At 45.4% G+C, this 15910-nt stretch overlaps 1 protein-coding gene across 1 annotated transcript in view; it reads right to left on the bottom strand.

The window, feature by feature from the left end:
* The window catches only part of MROH8 (maestro heat like repeat family member 8), a 78382-nt gene that overhangs the window by 2913 nt on the left and 59559 nt on the right, over window positions 1-15910 (bottom strand). The window contains 6 exon segments of the mRNA NM_152503.8: window positions 4520-4585; window positions 6177-6276; window positions 8245-8367; window positions 9911-10066; window positions 11094-11258; window positions 15619-15759. Coding sequence (NP_689716.4) covers window positions 4520-4585; window positions 6177-6276; window positions 8245-8367; window positions 9911-10066; window positions 11094-11258; window positions 15619-15759 — 751 coding nt within the window.

Consider the following 15910-nt stretch of genomic DNA (forward strand, 5'->3'; position numbering starts at 1 on the left):
GCAACAGAGTGAGATCCTGTTTCTAAATAAATAAATAAATAAATAAAATAAAAATTATTCTATAATATGTTTCTTGGCTATTCAGGTTGAGGATCCCGTATCCAAAATGTTTGGGAGCAGAAGTGTTTTGGAAATTAGACCATTTTGGATTTTGGAAGACTTGCATATACATAATGAGATATTTTGGGGATGGGACTGAAGTCTAAACACAAAATTCATTTATGTTTCATATACACCTTATACATATAGCCTGAAGGTAATTTTATACAATATTTTAAATAGTTTTGTGCATGAAACAAAGTTTTTTGACTGTGTGTGTGTGTGTGTGTGTGTGTGTGCACGTGTGTGCGCGTGTGCGTGTTTTAAACAGAGTCTCACTCTGTCACCCAGAGTGACAGATCTTGGCTCACTGCAACCTCCGTCTCCCGGGTTCAAGCGATTCTCCTGCCTCAGGCTCCTGAGTAGCTGGGATTACAGGTGCGCGCCACTACGCCTGGCTAATTTTTGTATTTTTAGTAGAGACAGGGCTTCACCATGTTGGCCAGGCTGGTCTTGAATTCCTGACCTCAGGTGATCCGCCTGCCTTGGCCTCCCAAAGTGCTAGGATTACAGGCGTGAGCCACCACAACTGGCTTGATTGTGTTTTGTCTTATGAGGTAGGTCAGGTATGGAATTTTCCCATTGTGGTGTCACGTTAACACTCAAGAAGTTTCGGGTTGGAGAACATTTCAGATTTTGGATTTTTTTGATTAGGGATGCTCAACCTGTATATAATTCTACAATATGAATATGCTATAATTTCTTTAATTATCTATTGTTTCCAATCTAGATTATTTCCCACTTTTGTTATTCTAAATAACAATAAATGGACATTCCTGTAACTATTTCTGCTTATTTTCATAGATTAAATTCCTAAACAAGAATTGATAAGTCAGGCTGGGCACGGTGGCTTACGCCTGTAATCCCAGGACTTTGGGAGGCTGAGGCGGGCAGATCACAAGGTCAGGAGTTCGAGACCAGCCTGACCAACATGGTGAAACCCCGCCTCTACTAAAAATACAAAAAATAGCCGGACATGGTGCCTGTAATCCCAGCTACTCAGGAGGCGGAGGCAGGAGAATTTCTTTTTCTTTTTCTTTTTTTTTTTTTTGAGACGAAGTCTCACTCTGTCACTCAGCCAGGCTGGAGTACAGTGGCGCAATCTCGGCTCACTGCAACCTCTGCCTCCCGGGTTCAAGCAATTCTCCTTGAATCACACCTGGCTAATTTTTGTATTTTTAATAGAGACGGGGTTGCACCGTATTGGTCAGGTTGGTCTCAAACTCCTGACCTCAGGTAATCCACCCACCTGGGCCTCCCAAACTGCTGGGATTACAGGCATGAGCCATTGTGCCCGGCCCAAAGTTTATTAATTGGTAATCTTTGCCATTTCGACAGAAAAACGCATACTGTCATCTCATCATGATTTATTTTGTAAACCTCTGATTACTAGTAATATCAAATATCTTTCATCTATTTATTGGCGATTTGTAATTATTCTATGAACCTCTTATTCATATTGTTTGCCAGTTTTCTTTTGAGGGTTTCTAATTTGATTTAAGGGTGTTAACCCTTTATCATGTTGCAAATATTTCCCTTCATATTATTGTTTGCATTTCACTTTTAACTATTTCTCTCTTTTTCAAAGTTGGTTTTTAAATTTTTATGTAGACAAATCTACCATTCTTTTATTTTATGGATATGCCTTTAGTATCATACTTAGAAAAGGTTCTCTTTTTTATTTTATTTTATTAATTAATTTATTTTTTTGAGACAGAGTCTTGCTCTGTTGCTCAGGCTGGAGTGCAATGTCACGTTCTTGGCTCACTGCAACCTCTGCCTCCCAGGTTCAAGCAATTCTCGTGTCTCAGCCTCCTGAGTAGCTGGGATTACAGGTGTGTGCCAATATGCCCAGCTAATTTTTGTATTTTTAGTAGAGACGGGGTTTCGCCATGTTGGCCAGGCTGGTCTTGAACTCCTGGCCTCAGGTGATCTACCCTCTCAGCCTTCCAAAGTGCTGGGAGTACAGGCATGAGCCACTGTGCCGGGCCAGGTTCTCTTTTTTATGTATAATTCTCCAAGGTCTCAAAAACGCTCAAGACCTCTTCATAATTTGGAGCTTTATATTTATTAAGCAGTGTTTTGCCTTTAAATTCATCTTGTTTGCTTGCAAAATGTAACATTTCACTAGTTTGTAGTTTCCTTCACTTCCTGCATTGAGGTCTGTCTACATGTTTCACAGAACATTTATTTATTTATTTATTTATTTAGTTAGTTAGTTATTACTTTTTGAGATGAAGGCTCGCCCTGTCGCATCTCGGCTCACTGCAACCTCCGCCTCCCAGGTTCATGTGATTCTCCTGCTTCTGCCTCCCGAGTAGCTGGGACTACAGGCATGCGCCATCACACCTGGCTAATTTTGTATTTTTAGTAGAGACGGGATTTCACCATGTTAGCCAGGCTGGTCTTGAACTTCTGACCTAAGGTGATCCACCTGCCTCGGCCTCCCAAAGTGCTGGGATTACAAGCGTGAGCCACGCACCCGGCCATGGTCCACAGAACATGAAATGTCAATCACATATGGTTCATTCTAATCTATATGCACATAATTATATATATTTTCTAGATTTTTCATATAGATAACTTTTGAATGGAAAAGGAAGTTTCATCCCCCATTTAGATTAGAAAATAATTTCTTTTTATTTGAACAGAATCAGCCATATAGAATCCTATCCCTTGGAATAATCCACATGGCTTCTTTCTTACTTTCTTTTCTTTTCTTCTTTCTTTCCTTCCTTCCTTCCTTTTCTTTCTTTTTTTTTTTGTTTTTTGATGGAGTCTTACTCTGTCACCCAGGCTGGAGTGCAGTGGTGCAATCTCGGCTCACTGAAGCCTTGACCTCCTGGGCTCAAACGATGTTCCCACCTCGGCCTCCTGAGTAGCTAGAACCACAGGCGCACACCACCATACCCACTAATTTTTTTTTTTTTTTTTTTTTTTAAATAGAGGCCAGGTGCGGTGGCTCATGCCTGTAATCCTGGCACTTTGGGAGGCTGAGGTGGGTGGATCACCTGAGGTATGGAGTTCGAGAACAGCCTGGCCAGCATGGTGAAACCCGTCTCTACTAAAAATACAAAAATTAGCCAGGCGTGGTGGCGGGCACCTGTAATCCCAGCTACTTGGGAGACCGAGGCACGAGAATCGCTTGAAACCAGGAGGCGGAGGCTGCAGTGAGCTGAGATCACACCACTGCATTCCACCCTGGGCGACCGAGCAAGACTCCATCTCAAAATATATATATATATATACACACACACACACACATACAAACATATGGAGAGATGAGGTCTCACTGTGTTGCCCAGGCTGGTCTTGAACTCCTGGGCTCAAGTAATCCTCCCACCTCGGCCTCCCTAAGTGCTGGAATTACAGGTGTGAGCCATTGCACCCAGCCTCCTTTCTTTGGCTTCTGATATCTGTGAGGAAGTGGGAGACCTTAGAGAAAAGTGGCATGATCTTTCTTAAATAAGCTTTAGCTCCTAGCTGTTTCACCAGTTATGTTTTTATTTTATAAGTAATGAATTACTAGGATTTTGATTAGATTCTGCAAGTAATAATTTTGGATTGTAAGACAGCATCATATGGCATTTTCTAATGGTAGGACTACTTCTTAGTGGGAATAAAGAATGCCTGTTTTGGCTGGGCGTGGTGACTCATGCCTGTAATCCCAGCCCTTTGGGAGGCCGAGGTGGGTGGATCACCTGAGGCCAAGAGTTTGAGACCAGCCTGACCAACATGGTGAAACCCCGTCTCTACTAAAAATACAAAAATTAGCAGGGCGTGGTGGTGCGTGCCTGTAATCCCAGCTACTCGGGAGGCTGAGGCAGGAGAATCACTTGAACCCGGGAGGTGGAGGTTGCAGTGACCCATTATCAGGCCACTGCACTCCAGACTGTGCGACAGTGCAAGACTCCATCTCGAAAGAAAAAAAAAAAAAAAAAAAGAATGCCTGTTTCTCAGAATAGGAGATTTGAAAGAAAAACATTAAAGAAAAAAAATTAAAGAAAAATGTGACTATAAAACATCTCTATTACCAAGTCCTACCTAAGTTACAGGACAACGGCTTATAGAAAATAGTACTGCAGTCATCTCTGTGGTACTTATGAGGAATCATCATAATTTACTAAGATAGTATTTCTAGGTAATGTCTTATTTGCTGACAGACAAGGCTCAGGAACTGTCTCTGAGACTCATCAAAGCTAGCTTCCAGACAAATAGGGTGATGTCCTTTCCTAAAGGGGAAACTGGACTGGGATGGGACTGTCATTCAGCTGAAATCACCAACAGGATTCCTGCTACAAAAACCAGGTTTTCTAGAGCTCAGGGTCTCAGCTCTGCTATAAAGCCTTCCCACACTGGCTGCCTCGGATACCTTCCAAAATATGGGTACACCCCAAATTCAAGGACTGTTATCACTTACCGTCCTCTATCCAGTCAGTACCCATCCTCCTGAGCTCATTGTGATCCATGTACTTCGATAAAAGGCCTAAAGGCAGGATAAAGTCAGTGAGTCTGTGATCTGGCTTTTGCTCTTGGAAATGAATATCTAAAAGTTTTTATCATTAAGACATCTAAGCAGCCGGCAGAATCGGCCTTCTGATAATTAGGCAGATTCCAAAAACTGGGCTTCCAGGTGCCTGGTAGTTACCTATAGGTAACAGGGCCCCTTCTTCCAAGGTCATCTTCATAAAGAATGGGGATACTTGGCCGGGTGCAGTGACTCACAGCCGGGTACAGTGACTAATGCCTGTAATCCCAGCACTTTGGGAGGCTGAGGCAGGAAGACTGCTTGAGCCCAGGAGTTTAAGACCACCCTGGGCAATATAGCAAGACCTTGTCTCTTAAAAAAAAAAAAATTGGCTGGGCATGGTGGCACATGCCTATAGTCCCAGATACTCAAGAGGCTGAGGGAGGTAGGAGGATTGCTTGAGCCCAGGATGTTGAGGCTGCAGCAAGCCATGGTGGTGCCACTGTGCTTCAACTTGGGCAACGAAGTGAGACCTTGTCTCAAATCACCACCCCCGCCTACACACATAAAACCCCCACACCATACATACATAAAAATGGGGATACTGACTGGGCGCGGTGGCTTACGCTTGTAATCCCAGCAATTTTGGTGGCTGAGGTGGGTGGATCACCTGAGGTCAGGAGTTCAAGACTAGCCTGGCCGACATGGTGAAACCCCATCATTACTAAAAATACAAAAATTAGGCCAGGCGCGATGGCTCACGCCTGTAATCCCAGCACTTTGGGAGGCCGAGGCGGGCGGATCACCTGAGGTCAGGAGTTCAAGACCAGCCTGGCCAACATGGTGAAACCCCATCTCTACTAAAAAATATAAAAATTAGCAGGGTGTGGTGGCAGGCGACTTAATCCCAGCCACTTGGGAGGCAGAGGCAGGAGAATCTCAACCCGGGAGGCAGAGGTTGCAGTGAGCTGAGATCAAGCCATTGCATTCAAATCTGGGGGACAAGAGCGAGACTTCTCTCAAAAAAAAAAAAAAAAAGAAAAATTAGCCAGGTGTGGTGGCAGGCACCTGTAATCCCAGCTACTCAGGAGGCTGAGGCAGGACAATCACTTGAACCCAGAAGGTGGAGGTGGCAGTGAGCTGAGATCGTGCCACTGCACTCCAGCCTGGGCAGCAAGAGTGAAACTCAGTTTCAAAAACAAAACAAAACAAAACAAAACAAAACAAAGACAGAGGGCCAGGCACCGTGGCTCACGCCTGTAATCCCAGCACTTTGGGAGGCCGAGGCGGGCAGATCACGAGGTCAGGAAATCGAGACCATCCTGGCTAACACGGTGAAACCCTGTCTCTACTAAAAATACAAAAAAATTTAGCCGGGCGTGATGGTGAGCGCCTGTAGTCCCAGCTACTCGGGAGGCTGAGGCAGGAAAATGGCATGAACCCGGGAGGTGGAGCTTGCAGTGAGCCGAGATGGCGCCACTGTACTCCAGCCTGGGTGACACAGCGAGACTCCGTCTCAAAAAAGAAAAAAAGAAGGGATGCTTGACAACATAATTTGGGAAAGTACAGGACAAAAGTGACTGTAGGAATGAAAGGACTTTCTTTGTACCTACAAACAAGACTGCTGATCTTCTGATGGGAAGTTTTGGGTTCTTGGAGTACATCAGTGTTTGTTCTAGGATGTTAATTTTCCCCTTGCACTTTTTTTCCTAAGTGTGGAAAAAAGTAAGTATAAAGCAGTGAAGCAGCAGCACTCTATTGATCAGCCTTACCACAGTTTCTGGGGTCAGAGACTCTATCAGAGAGAGTACAGTAGTGTTTGAAATAACTACAGTTGCTGAATGAGTATTATACCAGAATAACAAGCCCCTAGACCAAGTTATTCTAAATCCTGTGAATGCCCCTTGCTTGTACCCACTCATGCCATATATTGTGCCTGTAATGTTTCTAAAGCCATCTTGGCTTCTCTGTATCTAAGTCTTTGTTCTTTAAGTTCCACCTTGAGTTCTGCCTCCCTATGAGCTTGTCCTTGACTGCTTGCCTGCCTGACCTAACCCTGCTCTGAGCATTTTGCAGGTACTCCTCTCCCGGCACGCACTTTTTTACATCGAGGTTTTATCTCCTTTGCTAGCTTGCAGGCTCCCCTCAGGAAGTTTGTTTTTGTTTTTGTTTTTTCAGAAGGAGCCTTGCTCTGTCGCCCAGGCTGGAGTGCAGTGGCGCGGTCTTGGCTCACTGCAACCCTCACCTCCTGGGTTCAAGCAATTCTCCTGCCTCAGCCTCCCAAGTAGCTGGGACTATAGGTTCCTGCCCCCAAGCCCAGCTAATTTTTTTTTTGTATTTTTGGTAGAGACGGGGTTTCACCATATTGGCCAGGCTGGTCTCGAACTCCTGACCTTGTGATCCACCCGCCTCGGCCTCCCAAAGTGCTAGGATTACAGGCGTGAGCCACCACGCCCAGCCCCCTCAGGAAGTTTTAATCCTTGGGTTCTCTATGGCCTGTTATGGCTTTTGGGTGAAGGAAGGCACCTCTCAGTGGATCTTTTATAAGGATAGGCACCTCAAGAATAGGAGGGGGAGGCTGGGCATGGTGGCTCATGCTTGTAATCCCAACACTTTGGGAGGTTGAGCTGAGTGGATCACCTGAGGTCAGGAGTTCCAGAACAGCCTGGCCAACATGGCAAAACCCCAGCTCTGCTAAAAAATACAAAACTTAGCCAGACATGGTGGTGTAAGCCTGTAATCCCAGCTACTTGGGAGGCTGAGGCCTGGGCAACTGAGACTCTGTCTCAAAAAAAAAAAAAAAAGGAGGGGGAAAATAGGAATTTATTTTGATAGAACTTATGGCTTAATTAACATGGACAACTTGTAGTTGACAGCACCAAATTTCCTTCTGTAAATACTGTCATCAGTGTATCAGCTATAGGTTTGGGTGCAGATCAGACAGATAATCCCTAATGGAAACCCCGACACAAGGGCACTGCAAGTCCGATCACAGAAAGCTTCTGTGGGTCCTAAAGAGGTGATACATATGGAAGACTCCTGGGAATAGTCAGTCCTAGGGTCTGCTAGGTGGTTCTAGGGTCAGCTTCTAGAAAACCATGGATGGGCTTCCTGAGGCAGCCCAGGCTCAAGCTTGACCCTGAGATCAGACACAGTAGCCTCTGTGGAGTTCGTGAAGAGAAATGATACCACCTGGGTCCTGGCAGAACCAGTGGCATGCTGCCATCATGCTGCATGGCCACACAGCATGGCAGCCCTTGCTTGGGACTCCCTGGACATGCTCTGATGGACAGTAAAACAATCCGTTCTAGTCAAGGAAAGGATTCAAGATAGTTATAAAAGCAATATATAACTCCATTTCAATTCAGTCCATAAGTAACTTTTTCAGCATCAACCTGACCTTGTAGCCTCTGACCCATGTTAGAAGGGCTCCTAAGAGTCCACCAGTCTTTTCATGACTAAGAGTGGCAATCGAAACTAACTTTGTGACTCAGTTGGGAGGGAACTATAGAAACATAAATCCACAATAAAAAACAGGTCATAGATATCAACTGCTGATGTGAAAAGAAATGGGAAATGTTTCTTGCATGCCATGTTCTGTCATTAAATAGTGTGTCAGAAGAAAATAGGTCTCTCAGTATGTTGAAGAGTTAACAAAGCCATTATTGCTCACATACAAAGAATCTGCAGATTGTTCCTGCTTCAGTAGGTTTGATGTGCCAGGGATCTTTGGAGTACACTTCTTGGGGCAGCTTCCACTTCAGGAACTGGGCACATATAGTTAGGACTTGCCTGCTCTCCTGTGAAAAAGATGACCATAGATCAGCATTTTCAAACATTTTTATTTTTTTGAGCTGGAATCTCATGCTGTCGCTCAGGCTGGACTACAGCAGTGCCATCTTGGCTCACTGCGACCTCCACCTCCCGGGTTCAAGCAATTCTCTTCCCTCAGCCTCCTGAGTAGCTGGGATTATAGGCGCCCACCACCATGCCCGGTTAATTTTTGTATTTTTAGTAGAGACAGGGTTTTGCCATGTTGGCCAGGCTGGTCTTGAACTCCTGGCCTCGGGTGATCCATCCACCCTGGCCTCCCAAAGTGCTGGGATTACAGGCGTGAACCACCGTGCCCAGCCTCATTTTTAAACAGAGGTAATCTTTCTTCAATAAAACTAGTACTAAAGTACAATATGAAAAACTGATAAAAGAGAGCAGAAGAGCGGAAAGGAACTAGAATCCTGCCCTCCTCCTCCAACTTCTCCAAATAGTCCTTACGTGGAATCCACAAAAACCCTAGGGTTCTGGGGAGGATGTAGAAACCACTGGTGTTGGGCAAAAGTGACAGCTTGCAGATGTAATCCCTAGACCAGAGGTTTGGGCAGGAATTCCCATTACCCTGTGCCCTAGAGATGAAGCTCCCACCTCCACTTACTGTTCCTATGCCATTTTTCTGTCACTCTACAAAGGAAGTGTAGCCCCTGACTTCTGTCCTTGTGGCATCTCTGGGTTGGAAGGAAGGAACTCTAGAGGACTGATCTCTTCCTGATCCACATCCTTGAGCAAAATTTAGCAAGTGGGTCTCTTTTCTAGTTCATTGTTCTCAGAATGCCACCCATACACCATGCAACACCTCTGATGAATCTCCAAGCCAGTATTTTATCTCAGGTCCACTAGATGTTTGGGCCATAAAAATTCCTTTGGCTACTGATGGGCATATAAATTACTTCAGCCACTGTGTTTAGTGATTTATAAATATCTAATAAAAAGTTAAAGATACCTAGATATTCTACTTGAGGTTTTATGCCCTCAAGAAACTCTCATATGCGTGCACAAGGAAACAGGTAAAATAATTGCAGAACTGTAATCACGAAAAATTGAAATGTCAGGCCAGGCACAGTGGCTCATGCCTGTAATCCCAGCTCTCTGGGAGGCCAAGCAGGTAGATGATTTGAGGTCAGGAGTTCGAGACCAGCCTGGCCAACATGGCAAAACCCCATCTCTACTAAAAATACAAAAATTAGCCAGGCATGGTAGTGGGCAGTTGTAATCCCAGCTACTCAGGAGGCTGAGGCAGAAGAGTTGCTTGAACCCAGGAGGTGGAGGTTGCAGTGATCCGAGATCACACCACTGCACTCCAGCCTGGGCGACAGAGACCCTGTCTCAAAAATATATATGTATATCTATCTGTCTGTCTGTCTGTCTGTCTGTCTATGTATGTATGTAGGTATGAATGTATGTATGTATGTATGTATCTATCTATATGAGTATATGAATGCTTCTTTTCTTTGCAGAGTTGGCTCTGGATTTGAAGTTTGAGGGATGAGAGACACCGACAGTAGGCCTTACCTCAGCTACTGCATCATTTTCATCCTGAGAATACAGAAGTAGTGGGACCAAGCTGTCCAGGACTTGGTTCTCTATACTCTTCTTATCTGGGTTTTTTACAGACTTTATGGCGGCTCCAAAGAGAGTCACGGAGAAACGATGAACATCAGATCTCACCTGGGAAGGGAGTAGCCAAAGGGAAGCAATTCACTGAACGTGTGCGTGCTTAGCTTGTAACAACCTGGGAGGGGTTGAAAAGCCAGTCCTGACAATGAGGCTATTTAGCTGTATGTAGCTGAAGGCAAGAAATAAAATATACGTGGACACAGGCCAGGCGCAGTGGCTCACGCCTGTAATCCCAGCACTTTAGGAGGCTGAGGCAGGCAGATCACTTGAGGTCAGGAGTTCAAGACCAGCCTGGCCAATATGGGGAAACCCCATCTCCACTAAAAATACAAAAATTAGCTGGGCGTGGTGGCGCATGCCTGTAGTCCCAGCTACTCGGGAGGCTGAGGCAGGAGAATCGCTTGAACCCAGGAGGTGGAGGTTGCAGTAGGCCAAGATCATGCCACTGCACTCCAGCCTGGGTGACAGAGCAAGACTCCGTCTCCCTCCCCCTCTCTCTCTATATATGGACACAGTAAGACTTGCTGCTTTGGCACTACTTGTTTTCTCACCCTACAAGTGAGAGATGCACATAGTCTCACCTGTAGTCGGCAAACCTCGTGCCTGGTACAGGCAGGAACCATTCACACAGGCTGCTTTGTTGAAATTCGAAATCCCAGCCTTGGTATGTTTTACTCTTCCAAGGATGCTGGTCATTGTGCTCTATGCATTTCCTCTTGAGAAATATATGGCATTTGGGACAGGGACATAAGTATCATCCACCATCTTGACCCAGTTCTGATAGTTCTTGAAGGGAAAGACAATGTTTTCCCCTTCCCCATCACAAAGCAGGGTAGTACCTTAGCAAGTTTCTATGTTCAGTTGTTTTTTTTTTTTTTGGTTAAACCTGAAAAACAATAACATCTGCCCTATCAACATCACAGGTTACCTAGTAGGGTCTTAAGAGAGGAGGTTTGAAATGCTCTGAAAGTAAAAGTCCTATACCAAGTAGAGTGTATTTATTACTATACCAACTTCTGTTTGCTGTTATGCCCATTACCCTCCTCCTAGGAAAGTCTGTCCTCTCTGATTGTCTTACATCACCAAATAAGGAGAACAGGGTCCTCATCATGGCAGCCAGGGTAGTGAAATCCATTGTTCTAACAAGTTGCAGGAGTATCTGGATGGCTGACAGAACGATCTTCTCATCGGTTTCACGCAAGCTGTCTACAATGTATGGCAACAGGCTCTTGATGTCTTCTCTCTGCATGGCCAAAGGGAGCATATCACCTTTTCTCCAAATCGCACGTCACCTGGTACCAAAGGGGGTGCTCCCCATCTTTACTCAGTACCTAGTGCTCACTGATTTTTGTTAGGGGTGGTAGATCCAGAAGGGAGAAGAAGGGGATATGATGGCCTTCTCTCAGTACTGGAGGTCTGATACATAGAAGAGGGGCAGAGCTGCTTTGAGTTGCCTCAAGGGCAAAAGTGGGACCAGGCAGGGAAGGTCTAGGGCTATGGGCTTGGGCTCACTGTAAGGAAGAGCTCTGCTAACAAGGGAAAGTGGAACAGGTAGCTCAGGCCACGGTGAGCTCCCAAACACACAAGATATCCAAACAGAGGCTCAAAGATCCTGATATGGTTTGGCTCTGTGTCCCCACCTAAATCTCATCTCGAACTGTAATTCCCACTTGTAGAGGGAGAGACTTGGTGGGAAGTGATTGGATCATGAGGGCTGTTTCCCCCATGCTGTTCTCATGATAGTGAGGGAGTTCTCAGGAGATCTGATGGTTTTAAAATGGCAGTTTTGGCTGGGTGCAGTGGCTCATGCCTGTAATCCCAGCACTTTGGGAGGCCGAGGCAGGTGAATTACTCGAGGTCAGGAGTTCGAGACCAGCCTGGCCAATACAGCGAAACCCCACCTCTACTAAAAATACAAAAATTAGGCTGGGCACAGTGGCTCACGCCCGTAATCCCAGCACTTTAGGAGGCCGAGGTGGGCGGATCACCTGCAGTCAGGAGTTCGAGCCCAACCTGACCAACATGGCAAAACCCTGTCTCTACTAAAAATACAAAAATTCGCCAGGCATGGTGGCACATACCTGTAATCCCAGCTACCTGGGAGGCTGAGGCAGAATAGCTTGAACCAGGGAGGTGGAGGTTGTAGTGAGCCGAGATCGCACCATTGTACTCCAGCCTGGGTTACAAGAACAAAACTCTGTCTCAAAAAAAAAAAAAAAAAAAAAAAGCCTGGTGTGGTGGTGCCTGCCTGTAGTCCCAGCTACTCAGGAGGCTGAGGCAGGAGAATTGCTATAGCTTGAACTCAAATGGCAGAGGTTGCAGTGAGCTGAGATCACACCACTGCACTCCACCCTAGGTGACACAGAGAGACTCAATCTCAAAAAAAATAAAAATAAAAAATAAAATAAAAGTGGCAGTTTCCCCTGCTTTCTGTCTCTCTCCTGCTCCGCCATTGTGAAGATGTACCTGCTTCCCCTTTGCCTTCCACCATGATTGTAAGTTTCCTGAGGCCTCCCTAGCCATGCAGAATTGTGAGTCTAGTAAACCTCCTTCGTTTATAAATTACCCAGCTCAGGGAGTATCTTTATAGCAGTGTGAAAATGGATCCCCTGGCAGGAATTCAAGCAGAATTTGACCGAGGACTTAAGGGTTCTTCTCATTCTGAATGGGGATTCTGCTCTTCTGAAACTACTGAAAGGAAACAATCTCAGGGTTGTAAAGTTTAAACGTACACATGAAAAAGTAAGTAGAATATAAACACAAGTTAGGAAGCCAGTTTTAAAAAAAAGAAAAAGTAAGTAGAATAAAGCGATATTAATGTATCCAATCAACCAGAATTAACATACACTGACATTCGTCATTTTTGCTTCAGAAACACTTTTTTCTTTTTTTTTTTTTTGAGACAGTATGTCGCTCTGTCATTCAGGCTGGAGTGCAGTGGCGCAATCTCGGCTCACTACAACCTCTGCCTCACGGGTTTAAGCAATTCTCCTGCCTCAGCCTCCCAAGTAGCTGGGACTACAGGCACATGCTACCATGGCTAATTTTTGCATTTTTAGTAGAGATGGGGTTTCACTATGTTGGCCAGGTTGGTCTCAAACTCCTGACTTCATGTGATCTGCTCGCCTTGGCCTCCCGAAGTGCTGGGGTTACAGGCGCTAGCCACTGCGCCTGGCCCCAAATATTTTTAAATAAAATATTTGGTGAAGCGGCTCATGCCTGTAATCCCAGCTACTCTGCAGGCTGAGGTAAGAGGACTGCTTAAGGCCAGGAGTTCAAGGCTGCAGTGAGCCATGATCATGCCACTGTTCTCTAGCCTGGGCAACAGAGCAAGACCCTGTCTCTAAAAAAATTTAAAAAGTAAAAATAGGCCAGGTGTGGTGGCTCACGCCTGTAATCCCAGCACTTTGGGAGGCCGAGGCGGGCGGATCATGAGGTCAGGAGATCGAGACCATCCTAGCTAACACATGAAACCCTGTCTCTACTAAAAATACAAAAAATTAGGCAGGGGAATGGCATGAACCCGGGAGGCGGAGGTTGCAGTGAGCCGAGATTGTGCCACTGCACTTCAGCCTGGGTGACAGAGCAAGACTCTGTCTCAAAAAAAAAAAAAAAAAGTAAAAATAAATAAATAAATAAAATAGAACTCCAAGCCACCTGTGGTGGCTCACACCTGTAATCCCAGCATTTTGGAAGGGTGAGGCAGCCAGATCGCTTGAGGTCAGGAGTTCGAGACCAGCCTGGCCAACATGGTGAAACCCTGTCCCTACTAAAACATACAAAAATTAGCCAGGTGTAGTGGCAGATGCCTGTAGTCCCAGGTATTTGGAAAGCTGGGACTTGGAGACTTGGAGAATCACTTGAAGCCGGGAGGCAGAGGTTGCGGCGAGCCGAGATTGTGCCACTGCACTCTAGCCTGGGTGACAAAGAGAGTCCCTGTCTCAAAAAAAAAAAAAAAAAGAATAGAACTCCAGTGACAAAACTGAAGCTTCAGAAATTCCTCATGTCTTCTGGCTTAGGCTTAGTTTTCTCACCAGGCCTATGGAAGATGAGCTTTCTTCCAACATGAATGTCAGTGATCTTTTTTTTAGATGACAAGCATCTTGGGAGCATATCAATGGTCTTTTCAATCTACTCCATGGGGCAACACGGTACAAGGCATAAAACAATACCTAAATGCTGTCCAGGTTGTGATAATGAGTATACCTCCCCTGCAAATTGCAGCTATCAACTATTATGAATATATATAATTTGGACTTTTTATTTATTTCATTTAATTCCATTAACTCTTTTTTTCTCTTTTTTTGTGAGACAGAGTTTCGCGCTTGTTGCCGAGGCTGGAGTGCAATAGTGCGATCTCGGCTCACTGCAACCTCCGCTTCCTGGGTTCAGACGATTCTCCTGCCTCAGCCTCCCAAGTAGCTGGGATTACAGGCATGTGCCACCACACCTGGCTAATTTTTTTGTATTTTTAGTAGAGACGGGGTTTCTCCATGTTGGTTAGGCTAGTCTCAAACTCTCGACCTCAGGTGATTCACCCGCCTCGGCTCCCAAAGTGCTGGGATTATAAGCGTGAGCCACCGTGCCTGGCCTAACTTTTTTTTTTTTTCCCGAGACGGAGTCTTGCTCTGTTACCCAGGCTAGAGTGCAGTGGTGCCATCTTGGCTCACTGCAACCTCTGCCTCCCGGGTTCATGCGATTCTCCTGCCTCAGCCTACTGAGTAGCTGGGATTACAGGCATGTGCCATCATGCCCAGCTAATTTTTATATTTTTAGTAGAGATGGGGTTTCACCATGTTGGTCCGGCTGGTCTCAAACTCCTGACCTCGTGATCCACTCGCCTCGGCCTCCCAAAGTGCTGTGATTACAGGCGTGAGCCATCACGCCTGGCCAATTTCATTAATTTTTAAATAGTCAGTACTTGCCTATTTCTTAGGCATAAAACTTTAAATGATACAAAAGGATGTGCAGGAAAAAAGACCCTCTCCCACCTACTCCTGTCCCCAGGCTACCCAATTGTCTTCAGCTATTTTCAGTTTCTTAGGTATTATTTTGGGGTGATTAATTGGTATCTTAGGAATCAGTGATCTGGGCCAGGCGCTGTGGCTCACACCTGTAATCCCAGTATTTTGGGAGGCTGAGGTGGACAGATCACTTGAGACCAGGAGTTCGAGAGCAGCCCTGGCAACACAGTGAGACTCTGTCTCTACAAAAATTTTAAAAATCAGCTGGGCATAGTGGCATGTGCCTGTGGTCCCCGCTACTCAGGAGGCTGAGGTGAGAGGATCACTTGAGCCCGGGAGGTTGAAGCTGCGGCACGCAGCGATGGTGTCACTGAACTCCAGCCTGGGTCACAAAGCAAGACCCTATCTTAAAAAAAGAAAAAAAAAAAAAGAAAGAAAGAAGGAAGGAAGGAGAGAAAAGAAAAGAAAGAGAAGGAAAGGAAGAAAGGAAGGAAAGAAAGAAAAAGGAAAGAAAGAAGGGAAAGAAAGAAAGGAAGGAAGAGAAAGAAAGAAAGAAAGAGAGGGACAGAAAGAAAGAGAAAGAAAAGAAAAGAAAAGAAAAGAAAAGAAAAGAATCCATGGTCTGGGGGCCCCTCCTACCATCTCCTGGTGTCCAACAAGATTGTACAGTCCCCTCAGGCCGAGAATTCTAAAGAGATGATTTCCATCTTGTAGCCAGTCTTTAAAGCGGGCAACAGAGTATATGCTGGGCAGTCTCTTGGCCACTGGACTCCGGAGAAGCTGAAAGAACCCAGAGATCAGCCCAAAAAATGACCTTTAAGCCCTTTTTCATGTGGGGAGCTACCTTCCCACCAATGCTAAAGTACATATTTTCCTTTTAAATCTCTATTACAGAACATACAGGATGATGTTTATTTACCCTATAGGTACA

Source organism: Homo sapiens, chromosome 20 (assembly GCF_000001405.40).
Source record: "Homo sapiens chromosome 20, GRCh38.p14 Primary Assembly".
NCBI lineage: Eukaryota > Metazoa > Chordata > Mammalia > Primates > Hominidae > Homo > Homo sapiens.